This window comes from Homo sapiens, chromosome 7 (assembly GCF_000001405.40).
Source record: "Homo sapiens chromosome 7, GRCh38.p14 Primary Assembly".
In the NCBI taxonomy this organism is placed as follows: domain Eukaryota; kingdom Metazoa; phylum Chordata; class Mammalia; order Primates; family Hominidae; genus Homo; species Homo sapiens.
The window spans coordinates 43,263,743-43,276,260 of NC_000007.14; the positions used below are offsets into that span (position 1 = coordinate 43,263,743).

General features: G+C 39.1%; 1 protein-coding gene and 1 pseudogene across 17 annotated transcripts in view, besides 1 other annotated feature; both read left to right on the forward strand.

Moving 5' to 3' along the window:
• Window positions 1-12,518, forward strand: part of HECW1 (HECT, C2 and WW domain containing E3 ubiquitin protein ligase 1) — a 453,355-nt gene that overhangs the window by 151,096 nt on the left and 289,741 nt on the right. The window contains exon 1 of one of the 17 annotated variants that reach the window (XM_011515224.3): window positions 6,320-6,931. The exons of the other annotated variants lie outside the window; for them this stretch is intronic. The gene's annotated coding sequence lies outside the window, so the exon portion shown is untranslated. Of the gene's footprint in view, window positions 1-6,319; window positions 6,932-12,518 lie in introns of those variants that run through there. 17 annotated transcript variants of the gene reach the window in all.
• Window positions 9,418-9,561: a silencer, noted in NCBI's record as "fragment chr7:43312759-43312902 (GRCh37/hg19 assembly coordinates)". NCBI's record gives its function as "represses an EF-1alpha promoter that drives an FKBP-Casp9 reporter gene in an ReSE screen in phorbol 12-myristate 13-acetate-treated (for megakaryocytic differentiation) K562 erythroleukemia cells {active_cell/tissue: K562(+PMA)}" and the evidence as "EXISTENCE:reporter gene assay evidence [ECO:0000049][PMID:32094911]".
• RPL18AP10 (ribosomal protein L18a pseudogene 10) lies at window positions 10,387-10,892 on the forward strand (annotated as a pseudogene).

The window sequence follows — 12,518 nt, forward strand, 5'->3', positions numbered from 1 at the left end:
AAAAGGAAGGGAGGGAGGGAGAGAGAGGGGACCAAAGAAAGAGAAAGAAGAAGAGGCTGCAGGATTTGTTGTATTCTTTCTAGCATTATTATTGTTTTTATTTAAGTTCATGTTTCTCCACTCCTTACCTCTTAATTTTATTATTTACCATTCACAAATCACAAAGTAATGATAAAAATGCACAAATCTCTAATTTTTAAAAATTTTACTTGACAAATAATAACTGTGGGATTATCCCAACAAATATATATTTGCGGGATGAAATGTTATGTTTTTATATACGTTTATATTGTGGAATGATTCAGACAAGCTAATTAATATATCCATCCTTACATAGTTATTTTTTGTGGTGAGAACATTTAAAATCTACTGTTTTTGCAGTTTTGAAATATGCAACACCTTATTATTAACTACAGTCACCATACTTCGCAATAGATCTCTAAAACTTATTCTAACTGACGGAAACATTATACCTTTTGACCAACATCTCCCCATCCCTCCCCCTTCCCCCAGCCTCTGGTAACTACCATTCTACTCTCTGCTTCTGTGAATTTGACTTTTTTAGATTCCACATATAAGTGAGATCATGCAGCATATGTCTTTCTGTGCCTGGCTATGTTGCTTAACATATAACCTGAACATCCTCCACGTTCATCCAGGTTATTGCAAATAACGGAATTTTACTCCTTTTAAAGATTGAATAGTATTCCATTTTCTATGTATACCACACTGACTTTAGCCATAAATCTCTACATTTTGCTTTTATGTTTGTTTTTCTTCAATAGAGCATCTGTCTTTTGTAAAAAATAATTACTATTGTCAGCCAGGCGCGGTGGCTCACGCCTGTAATCTCAGCACTTTGGGAGGCCAAGGCGGGCAGATCACAAGGTCAGGAGACCAAGACCATCCTGGCTAACACAGTGAACCCCGTCTCTACTAAAAATACAAAAAATTAGCCAGGTGTGGTGGCGGGCACCTGTAGTCTCAGTTACTCCGGTGGCTGAGGCAGGAGAATGGCGTGAACCCAGGAGGCGGAGCTTGCAGTGAGCCGAGATCGCACCACTGCACTCCAGCCCGGGCGACAGAGTGAGACTCGGTTTAAAAAAAAAAAAAAAAAAAAATTGCTATTGTCGAGAAATAGTTCTTGCAGTCTGCTTCCCCTTCTAAAATATCTGAGGATAATTAGTCTAGATGACTTGGAATACTGAATTTGCTCCTCCATTTTTTCTTATTTACCGTGAAAACTTGATAATATGGATGCAAAAGTATATTTTCATATAGTCAAGAAATTAGGAAAACAAAATGGACAGAAAGTAGGTCAGGATGCACTAGCTTCTATCATGGAAACAAACAACCCTCATATTTTAGTGGCTTAAACAGGTGACCATGTTTTGCTCATTGTCCTAGTCTATGGGTCGGGAGGGTAGCTCTGCTCATTCTAGCCGCTCTTGGTCCTGGTGACAGCCACCATCTCTGAGGTTGCCAGTTTCCATCTCAGAGGTAAGGAGAATTCTGGGGTTCTGCACAGCCATTTAAACACCTCAGCATGAAAGCTACACCTACTCTGCTTACAACTCATTGGCCAGAATTGGTCCCATGGCCCTCCTAACCACAGCGGGCCAGGAAGTGTCATCCTGCCTTGTGCTGGGTAGCTGAGAGCAGACAGCCTAAAGAAGAGCACAGATTTTATTACAGAAGCATAAAAAGAGAAGCTATAATATCAGATAACATAAGTTTATGTTGAAATGTATAAAATTGTTCATACTTTGCTATCTTGACCTACAAAAATGGCAATTTCATAAGGTTCATGCTAATAAGTTTAAAACACCTTTTGTTGTCTTTTTTCTGACACCACTCCTGACACCAAACATCTGGTCTTCCACACTAATTCTCCAGTTCCCTGAGACCAACTGGGTATCCAACAATTCAAATCAATTCTGGCACTCACTCCTGGAGTTAGCCCAAATCCTACAGGTTAAAGGCACATTCTCACAAGGCTGCTCCCACTTCAGGCATCAGCCGAAAACAGGGTTCCCAGGATTCCCATGCTTTTGCCCAAGCAACTACAAATTTGAAGGTTCCCAAAACTCCCCCCTCAGGTTCAATGATCTGCTAGAATGACTTATAAAACACAGGGAAGAACTATACTTACTATGACAGCTTCTCATCAAGGGTACAAATGAACAGCCAGATGAAGAGGAAACTTGAGGGGGGGTGTGGATTCTGGAGGGTGGGGTGCACCACCCTCCCAGCACCCAGGTGTATTCACCAGCTCGGGAGCACCCCTGGGCCACATCATTTAGGGTTTTTTATGGAGGCTGCATTATGTAGGCATGATTGATTAAATCACTGGCCATTGATTGTTGGATCAGTCTCTACCCCTTCCCATTCTCCCAAGGTCAAGGGGCGGGCTAAAAATTTCCACCCTCTTGTCACATGGTTGTTTCCTCTGTTGACAGCCCCCCATCCTGAAGCTGTCTAGGGACCTACCAAGAGCTACCTCATTACCATAAACTCTGGTAGGGGTGAAGGGGCTGATTATGAGTAACAAAAGACACTTCTCTCACTCAGGAAGTGTTTTTTTGTTTGTTTTGTTTTGTTTTCATTTTTTGAGACAGAGTCTCACTCTGTCACTCAGGCTGGAGTGCAGTGGTGCGATCTTGGCTCACTGCGTCCTCCGCCTCCCGGGTTCAAGCAATTCTCTGCCTCAGCCTCCTGAGTAGCTGGGCTTACAGGCATCTGCCACCACGCCCAGCTAATTTTTTGTATTTTTAATAGAGACGGAGTTTCACCATCTTGGCCAGGCTGGTCTTGAACTCCCGACCTCATGATCCACCCGCCTCGGCCTCCCAAAGTGCTGGGATTACAGGCGTGAGCCACCGTGCCCGGCCTCAGGAAATGTTTTAAGAACTTCTATGCCAGGAACTAGGAACAAATAAAGACCAAATAAAATATATATTTTTATTATACCGCACACCTCCTTCAAGAATAAATGTAAATAAATATCACCTAACAACAGAAAAATTCTCAAACTGGACCAAACTACAAAATTCATCTATATTCTATTTAAAAGAGACACGCAAAAGGAATGATTAAAAGTAAAGACATAAAAGTAAAATAAATAAATGTCAGCTTAATATGAAATCTAGTGAGATTTGAGGAGGAGAAGTGTTTAATGGGACAAAGTTGATTATTCTGTATTGATGAAGTTATAATCTACAGTGACAAAGGACCATGATCCTCTACACTCCTAATAGTATAGAATCAAAATAGGTAAAGCAAAAACTGCTAGAAGTTAGCAGAAATGTATGTAATTGTGTTGGGAGTTTTAATTCATTATTTTGCACATAAAAAAGATAAATAATATTACATAAAATCAAATAATATTTACAATTAAAACTTGTACTGACCATTTTGCCATGAAATAGACTATGTCATCATTGCAAGGATCTATAAAGCATCTATACAATTAGCAATATACTACTGGGGCATGAGAACATCCTCAATAAATTTCAAAAAGGAGAAATTATTGAAGGCACATTTTCCGATCACAATACAATTAGACATTAATGATTTTTAAAATTTCAAACATTTTCAGATTGAAAAGTACTATTGGCCAAAGGGGAAATTGAAGCCATAATTTGACTATTTAGGAAATAATGTCAATATAATAATTATACATTAAAACTTAGCAGATGTGACTAAAATTATTTACAGGGAAAAATTCACAGTTCTGTATGTTTTTATTATTTAAGATGAAAGAAAAGAAAATAACTGTGTTCAAGTAAAAAAAAATTAGAAAACCCTCAGCCAAAGAAACCTAGGGAAAGAAAAATTAAATAACTAAAATATAAGAAGAAATTAATAAACTATAAACAAAATATAGTGAAACAGTGGCATTGATAAATAAATCTAAAAATATTTACTTGGGGGACCAAACACTCTGGCATAGCTAATTAAGAGAAAACAAATATTCATGATTAGAATCAGAAAAGGAATATAAAATTATGTATAGTTCAAAGAGAAATATTAATAGAAATTTTTATGTTCAGAATTTTAATAATATATTTGAAAGACTTGATGAGTTAATTTCCTTAGAAAATTACCATACTTAAGAAGTAGAAAATTTCAAAACACTGAAGTTATGAACATAACTATAAAACTTGCCAGATAATTTTTAATGAAGTTTTCAGAACCACACCATTTCACAAATGAATACTGATAAACTTTCAAGCAGTACAAAATTCACCTGATAGTTATCACAGACAAATATAGAACACTTGCCACTTCATATTGGTGCTAGAATCCCTTTAAATTATTAGTAAATCAAAACCAACAACTTATAATTTACGCATTTATTTTAAAATATTCATTGAGTCTCTCTAAAGTGCAAGAGACTCTACTAGGCATCCTGTGTGTGCAGAGTCTCTGCCCTCAGGGTGGTTACTTTCTCCTCGGGGAAACAGACATTTCCAACTCAGCTACAGAATTAGTTACATAAGCCAATGAGATAAATCCTAGAAGGAGACTCGCAGTGTTCTGTAACAGTGTGTGGCAGGGATCCTTACACATGGCTCAGTGGAGAAGGGCTGTAGTTTAGAGATAGGCCACCAAGATTTGAATCAAAGATCTGCAGCCTAGCAGCCTTATTCCCTGTGAAACCTTTAACCCAGAGGCTCTCACCTGGGGGTGATTTTGTCCCCCGCGGACATTTGGCAATGTCTGGAGACATGTTTCATTGTCATGACTTGGACATGCTACTGGACCTAGTGGGCAGAGGCCGGGGATGCAGCTGCACATCCCACTGTGCCCTGGACAGCCTCACAGCAAAGCTGTATCTGCCCCAAAATGTTACCAGTGCCAACACTGAGAAACACTCCTCTGTAGGATGATGAATCCCTGGGGGCTCCTGAGAGTCAGATCCACATTTCTAACTGTCCACTGGGCTTTTCCACTTCATGTGCCTCAGGCATGACAAACTCCAAATGTGTCATCTTCTCCTGACCTGTGTTTTGTTGTTGTTGTTGTTGTTTGTTTGTTTGTTTTTTTAACAAGATCTTGCTCTGTCACCCAGGCTGGAGTGCAGTAGTGTGATCATGGCTCACTGCAGCTTCAACCTCCTGGGCTCAAGTGATCCTCCCACCTCAGCCTCCTGAGTAGCTACTGGGACTACCAGTGTGCGCCACCAACCCTTGCTGATTTTTCTATTTTCTATTTTTTGTAGAGATGGGGTCTTGGTATGTTGCCTAGGCTTATGTTCATTTTTTTAAGTAAACAGTGCCACCCTCTACCCACTCTCTCATGTCAGAGCTCAGAGTGCCATTCTTAATTCATCCTCTCCCTCACCACTGAAATATTTAATAAAGTTCTGACCATCTACCTCTTGACATCTCTGGAAACCATCTACTGCTTTCCTTTGTCAGGCTTCTACTTACTTCTTCAGTTTGCCTGCCATTCATACACCTTGCCATCTCCTACAACAAGCATGCTGGAAATATTCTCTGTTTTAGTTGTACTGAATACAGCACAGCTGGCATGTGCCATGCTCCTATTGGCCACAGAACCCTCACATATTCTGCTCTTTTTGTCTGCAGCAGTTTGAAGTTGCCCCCGATCCCTTTCCCTGACACACACTTCACTGGATGAGTTGATTCCTCCAGGAGGTTTTCTATGAGACAAGGCCTGGGTGCCCCTCAAATGCACGCCCATGGCATTTCACTAACATAGAATAACACTCTATTGTCGGAACCAGAAAGACACATGTGAAATTCACACTTGAAGCATATTTGGGTTAGGAAGACAGTTTCAATATAGGAGTGAAGGAAGCTGGAGAGGATGATTGGAGTGCTGGAGGAAATAAACGAATTGAAAGGCAAGACCATCCATCTGGGAATACCCCACCACAGAGCCTACAGAATAACCAGGAAGTAGAAAACTGGGGCATTCCTAGAGCCTTTTTAACTGTTGTCAAAAGTCTAGGCTGTCTGATAACACACAAGTAGTCTAATGCATGCAAGAATACAAAGCTGGGGGCGGGAAGTGAGGGTAGGGTTACCTCTGAGGAGACAATTGGCAATGTCTGGAGGCATTTTTTGGTTTTTGCAATTGGGTGACTGCTACTGAAATCTGATGTGTAGAAGCTAGAAACCCTGCAATGCATGGGACAACCGCCATAACAAAGAATTATCTGGCTCAAAATGTAAAACAAGGTTGAGAAGCCGTGCTTTAACTTAATATTTCTCAGCCTCTATATCTTCATCTCTGAAATAGGAATGTCCACATTAGCATTGTTGTAAGCCCTGTTACTAGAATATAGTAAGTGCTCAATAATTGTTGGATTTTTTTCACTTACATTCTTTTGAAATTCTGTGTGTTATCTGTTGCTTAATAATAAACCATAACAAATCAGCCCTAAAATTTAGTGACTCAAAACAGCAATCATTTAATAGTCTCTCGTGGTTTCTGCCGGTCAGTCATTCAGCAGCAGCTTGGCTGGCAGGTTTAGACTTCGGATCTCTTAGAAGGTTGTAAGTCAGATGTCAGCTGGGGCTGCTGTCATCTGATGGGTTGACTAGGGCAGGAGGACCCACTTCCAATGTGTCTCACTAGTGTGGCTGGCAAACTAGGGAAACTGTCAGATGGAGGTATCAGCTAGCAACTCGGGCTCTCCACAGGACTGCATGTGCATCCTCAAAGCATGGCAGCTGCCTCTCCACAAACAAGGGAGCCAGGAGACTGAGGTAGAAGCTGCAGTGCCTTTATGACTTAGCCTGAGAAGTCACACATTGTTACTCCTGCTGAATTCTACTGGTCACACTGACAAGCTCTGGTTCAGTGTGGAAGGGCACTTCATAATGCTGTGAACATCAGGTGGTAAGGATAATTGAGACCATCTCAGGGGCTGGCAAAAACTCTACCAAAACAAACCAAGGTATTAGAAAAAATCAATATAGCATTTGCAGATGTTTAATTATTGAACTAAAAAATTGCACTGATTCAACTTAAATATTATTAGAATTAAAAAGAGTTAAATAATGTGGCAATATACAAAATAAGTATGGTAGATATCAATAGATTTCACTTACACCAGTGATATCAAATTGGAAAATATGAAAGTAAGAAAATCTTAGTTATAAAGTACCTAGAGATAACTTTGAAAAGAAGTATGTGGAAACTCTCTGAAGAAAACCATAAAATTTCACTAAAGGACCTGAAAGATGGGAAGAAATTGAGAGGTACATCATGTGGCTGGATGGAAACACTGAGCTTTAGATAACTTCACTTCTCTACAAATTAATATACAGGTTTAATGCAAATCTAAAAATGTCAAGGAGATAGATTTATATAATTTGATGTACATGTGTTGTATGTATATATATTTCATTCTAAAATTCCACAAATTATCTAGAAGACTGAGTGGAAAACTTAACCAAGAAACTTTGGGGAAAGAAGTGTGGATGTATGTACATCCACATTGAACATTAATGTATGTTTAAAAAGTAATTGACAACATCATATGGAATGAGCAAAAACTGGAAATATTCCCTTTGAGAACTGGAACAAGAAAAGGATACAACTCTCACCTATTCAACATAGTACTGGAAGTGCTAGCCAAAGCAGTTAGGCAAGAGAAAGAAATGAAAGGGGCATCCAAACAGGAAAAGAAGAAGTCGAACTCTTTCTTCCCGAATTATATGATTCTGTACTTAGAAAACCCTAAGGACTCTGTCAAAAGGCTATTAGAACTGATAAACGATTTTAGCAAGGTTGTAGGGTACAAAATCAATGGACAAAAATCAGTAGCATTTCTATACATGTTCAAACTGAGAGCCAAATTAAGAATGCAATCCAATTTACAATAGATTAAAAAATTGAGATATCTAGGAATACATCTAACCAAAGAAGTGAAAGATTTGTACAAGGAGAACTACAAAACACTGATAAAATAAATCATGGATGACGGAATCAAATAGAAAAACATCCCATGCTCGTGGATTGAAAGAATCAGTATTATTAAAATGGCCGTATTTCACAAAGCAATCCACAGATACAACACTATTCTTATCAAACTATCAGTGTCATTTTTTACAGAATTGGAAAAAACTATGTTAAAATTCATATGGAACCAAAAAGAGCTTGAATAGCCAAAGAAATCCTAAGCAAAAAGAACAACACTGGAGGCATCACATTACCTGACTTCAAACTGTGTTATAAGGCTACAGTAACCAAAACAGCACAGTACTTCTACAAAAACAGACCCAGACCAATGCAACAGAGTAGGGCACCCAGAAATAAGGCCACCCCCCTACAGTCATGTAATCTCCAACAAAATTGACAAAAATAAACAATAGGGAAAGGAGACCCTAATAAATGATACTGGAAAAACTGGCTAGTCACAAGCAGAAGAATGAAACTGAATCCCTATCTCTCACCATATGCAAAAATTAACTCAAGATGGATTAAAGATTTAAATTCTCAAACTATAAGAATCCTAGAAGAAAACCTAGGAAACACCATTCTGGACATCAGCCTTAGGAAAGAATTTATAAGTCCTCAAAAGCAATTGCAACAAAAACAAAAGTTGACAAGTGGAACCTATTAAACTAAAGAGCTTCTGCATGGCAAAAGAAACTATCAACAGAGTGAATAGACAACCTACAGAATGGGAGAAAATATTTGCAAATTATGCATCCAACAAAAGTCTAATATCTAAAATCTATAAAAACTTAATTGAACAAGCAAAAAACAACCCCATTAAAAAATGGGCAAAAGACATGAACAGACACTTCTCAAAAGAAGACATATAAGCAGCCAGCAAACATATGAAGAAATGCTCCGTGTCACTAATCATCAGAGAAATGCAAATCAAAACCAGAATGAGATACCATCTCACATCAGTCAGGATGGCTATTATTAGGGTCAAAAAACAGATGATGGCATGGCTGTGGAGAAAAGGGAACATTTATACACTGCTGGTGGGAATGTAAATTAGTTCAGCCACTGTGAAGAGCAGTTTGGAGATTTCCAAAAGAACTTAAAACAGAGCTATCGTTTGTCCCAGCAATCCCATTACTCTGTGTATTTCCAAAAGAAAACAAACCGTTACACCAAAAAGACACAGGCAAATGCATGATCATCGCTGCACTATTCACAATAGCAAAGACATGTATTCAACCTAGGTGTCCATCAGTTGTGGACTGAATAAAGAAAATGTGGTACATATACACCATGGAATACTAGGCAGCCATAAAAAAGAATGAATCATGTCCTTTGCAGCAACATGCATGCAGCGGGAGGCCATTAATACTAAGCAAATTAGTGCAGGAACAGAAAACCAAATACTACATGTTCTTACCTACAAGTGGGAGCTAAACATTGGGTACTCACAGACATAAAGATGGCAACAGTAGAAACTGGGTTCTACTAGAAGGGGGATGGAGGGAGTGGGGCAAGGGTTGAAAAACTAATTGCTGGGTACAATGCTCAGTACCTGGTTGACAGGAACACGTGTACCCCAAACCTCAGAATCACACAATATACCCAAGCAACAAACCTCCACGTGTACCCCTGAATCTAAAAGTTGAAAAAAATAAAGATAAATAAATAAATAGATTGAAATGGTATGAGTGCAGCAACATAATGACAGATTAGTGGAACTATATAAATTGAACAGAAATTGACCCTAATATAAATTTCGTAAATAATAGTGATAGAATAAAAAATATTTGAGTAAAGAATATATTAAACAATAAGTATTACTAATACAATTAGTTAACTACTTTGAAAAAAACTTTAAGATATATTTCCTCTTTTACCCATACCTCAATCCCTGATAGATTTGAGTGAAACATAAAGTATGAAATCATAAAAACTCAAAAGAAAATATGGATAAATAAGTTAGAGACAGAAATCTTTTAAGCCTAAAATAACAGAATGATAACAATGGAAAAGAAATCAGGATATTTGACAATATAAAATGTTGAAGTTTTGTAAGTTAAAAAAATAAGCAAAATAAAAAGATAAGCAAATATTGGGAAATTGTGTCATATTTACAACAACGGTGGATAATTTCCCATTTTCCCTTAATATATGACAGAAGTTGTAAAATATGATTCTTTTTTTTTTTTTTGAGATGGAGTCTCTCTGTCACCCAAGCTGGAGTGCGGTGGCACAATCTCGGCTCACTGCAATCTCCACCTCCCGGGTTCAAGCGATTCTCCTACCTCAGCCTCCTGAATAGCTGGGATTGCAGGTCGCACCACCACACGCAGTTAATTTTTGTATTTTTAGTGGAGACGGGGTTTTGCCATGTTGACCAGGCTGGTCTCGAACTCCTGACCTCAGTTGATCCACCCGCCTCGGCCTCCCAAAGTGCTGGAGAAAAGCGCGGGTGGCGGCAGGCACGGAAAGGACGCCATGAAGGCCTCGGGTGCACTAAAAGAGTACAAGGTGGTGGTCTCTCTTTGCCCACCCCCAAATGCCACACACTGCCCCTCTACTGCATGCGAATCTTTGCGCCTAAATCATGTCGTCGCCAAGTCCCGCTTCTGGTACTTTGTATCTCAGTTAAAGAAGATGAAGATGACTTCAGGCTGGATTGTCTACTGTGGACAGGTGTTTGAGAAGGTCCCCCTGCGGGTAAAGAACTTCAGCGTCTGGCTGCTCTATGACTCCCGGAGCTGCACCCACAACACATACAGGGAATACTGGGACCTGACCACCATGGGCCGGCACCGCACCCAGGCCCACTGCATCCAGATCATGAAGGTGGAGGAGATCGCAGCCAACAAGTGCCGCCGGGCCACGCTTCACCACCAAGAGGCCCAACATCTTCTTTTAGGTGCAGGTTCCTCGCCCCGGGTGTGCCCCAAATAAACTCAGGAACGCCCCGGGGGAGGGAGGGAGAGAGAGAGAGAGAGAGCGAGAGAGAGCGCGCAGTAAAATCCTATTACAAAAATAGACACGAACTATCTCTCCATTTATTGTTTTTATTTGATACACACTTATTGAGCACCTATGGTGTACCAGCCAATGTGATAGATGTGAGTCACACGTGAGGACATGTAAAAACTTTAAAAAGACTGTGAAATCAATGAGAAGATATTTACTCATGCTAGAAAACAAACCACAAACTAATGAAAAGTACTGTCATTTTGCCTATCATATTAAAAAAATTAAAAACTATACAACTCAATGCTGTTGAAGATGTCCTGAGACGGGCACTCAGTGCAGAGGGAAGTGTCCAGGGGTCTCTACGTGTGCTTTGCAAGCAGTTTGGTGCTCAGCATCCATGGTGTCACTGAGTTATCAGGGTCCTCAGAGAATAACAGAGCAAAGTACTCAGAAATTGGTGCAAGGAATAAGCTATACAGATGTTCATTTGCAGCATTATATATATATTTAAAATAGTGTAAAATTAAGAATATCTTTAAAAATCCAACAAAAAGTTTACTTGAAATCCTATTTAGTAATACCATAATATGGAATAATGTGTAGCCTTTATGAAAGAATTCTCCTAAGACTATTTAATAAAATAAAAATCTCTCATAACATAATGTTACATAAGTAAATCACAATGTTAATGGTATATGCAGCATAGTATTTGTTGGCTGAAAAATACACATGCATGCATTGAAAATAGAATGGAAGGAAATCTCTAATATAATAATAGTGCTTATCTTGGGGTGATGACGCTTGAGGTGGTTTTTGGTTTTCTCTGAATGCTTCTTAAAAAATTTGTTATAAACTACTTGTAATTAGTAAGCATTGTTTTTATCATAAAAACTGTGAATATGGAAGAAATGGTATTAAGTTTTAGAAAAGTAGGGGTGAGGGAGAGTAATGTAGATGCAAATGCACTAATCACCTCCCCAAATTACGGAGCTGCCTTGAAGCCTGGTCATTAATTCATCCACACTATCTTCCTCCACTATTTACTCACCAAGTAGTCTGTTCTTATGCGCACGCACACACACACACACACACACACTACCCTCCCACCCTCCCCCACTCACTCCCTGCAACAATTTCAGTCATTGTTAATTTGCTGGATAGGTGGCTGTGGGTTTATTCAATCAAATGCTTTACAGAGTTTTGCCAATATCCTGCTAATTGATCCACAGGCCACCTCTGGTGATTTATGGTGTTTTATAGTGTCAGCTCTTATTGAATTTTCTTACTAGATTTTTGTGGTTAAAATTGTTTCATACATTGAGATCTATTATAGTGTATGGCATTCAATACTTGTACTGGAAGACAGAGGCAGAGGTTTAAGGAATAAGGAGGTTTAAAGAATCAATTGTGCAGAAGGCCCCTTATCAGATGGCTCTGCTCTGGTTCCTGTTGATGGGGGCCCAGTGGGAAGATGTGACCTTTTCATTTTTTTTCTTGTCTGTGTAAGGGATATCAGAAATGGTAAGAAATGATCTTACATAACAACTATGCCAGGGACAGTTTATTTTGGATCAATCTAGCAGACTGACTCCTAGCATAGCCTGTTCTTTAGAGTTACTAAAAGG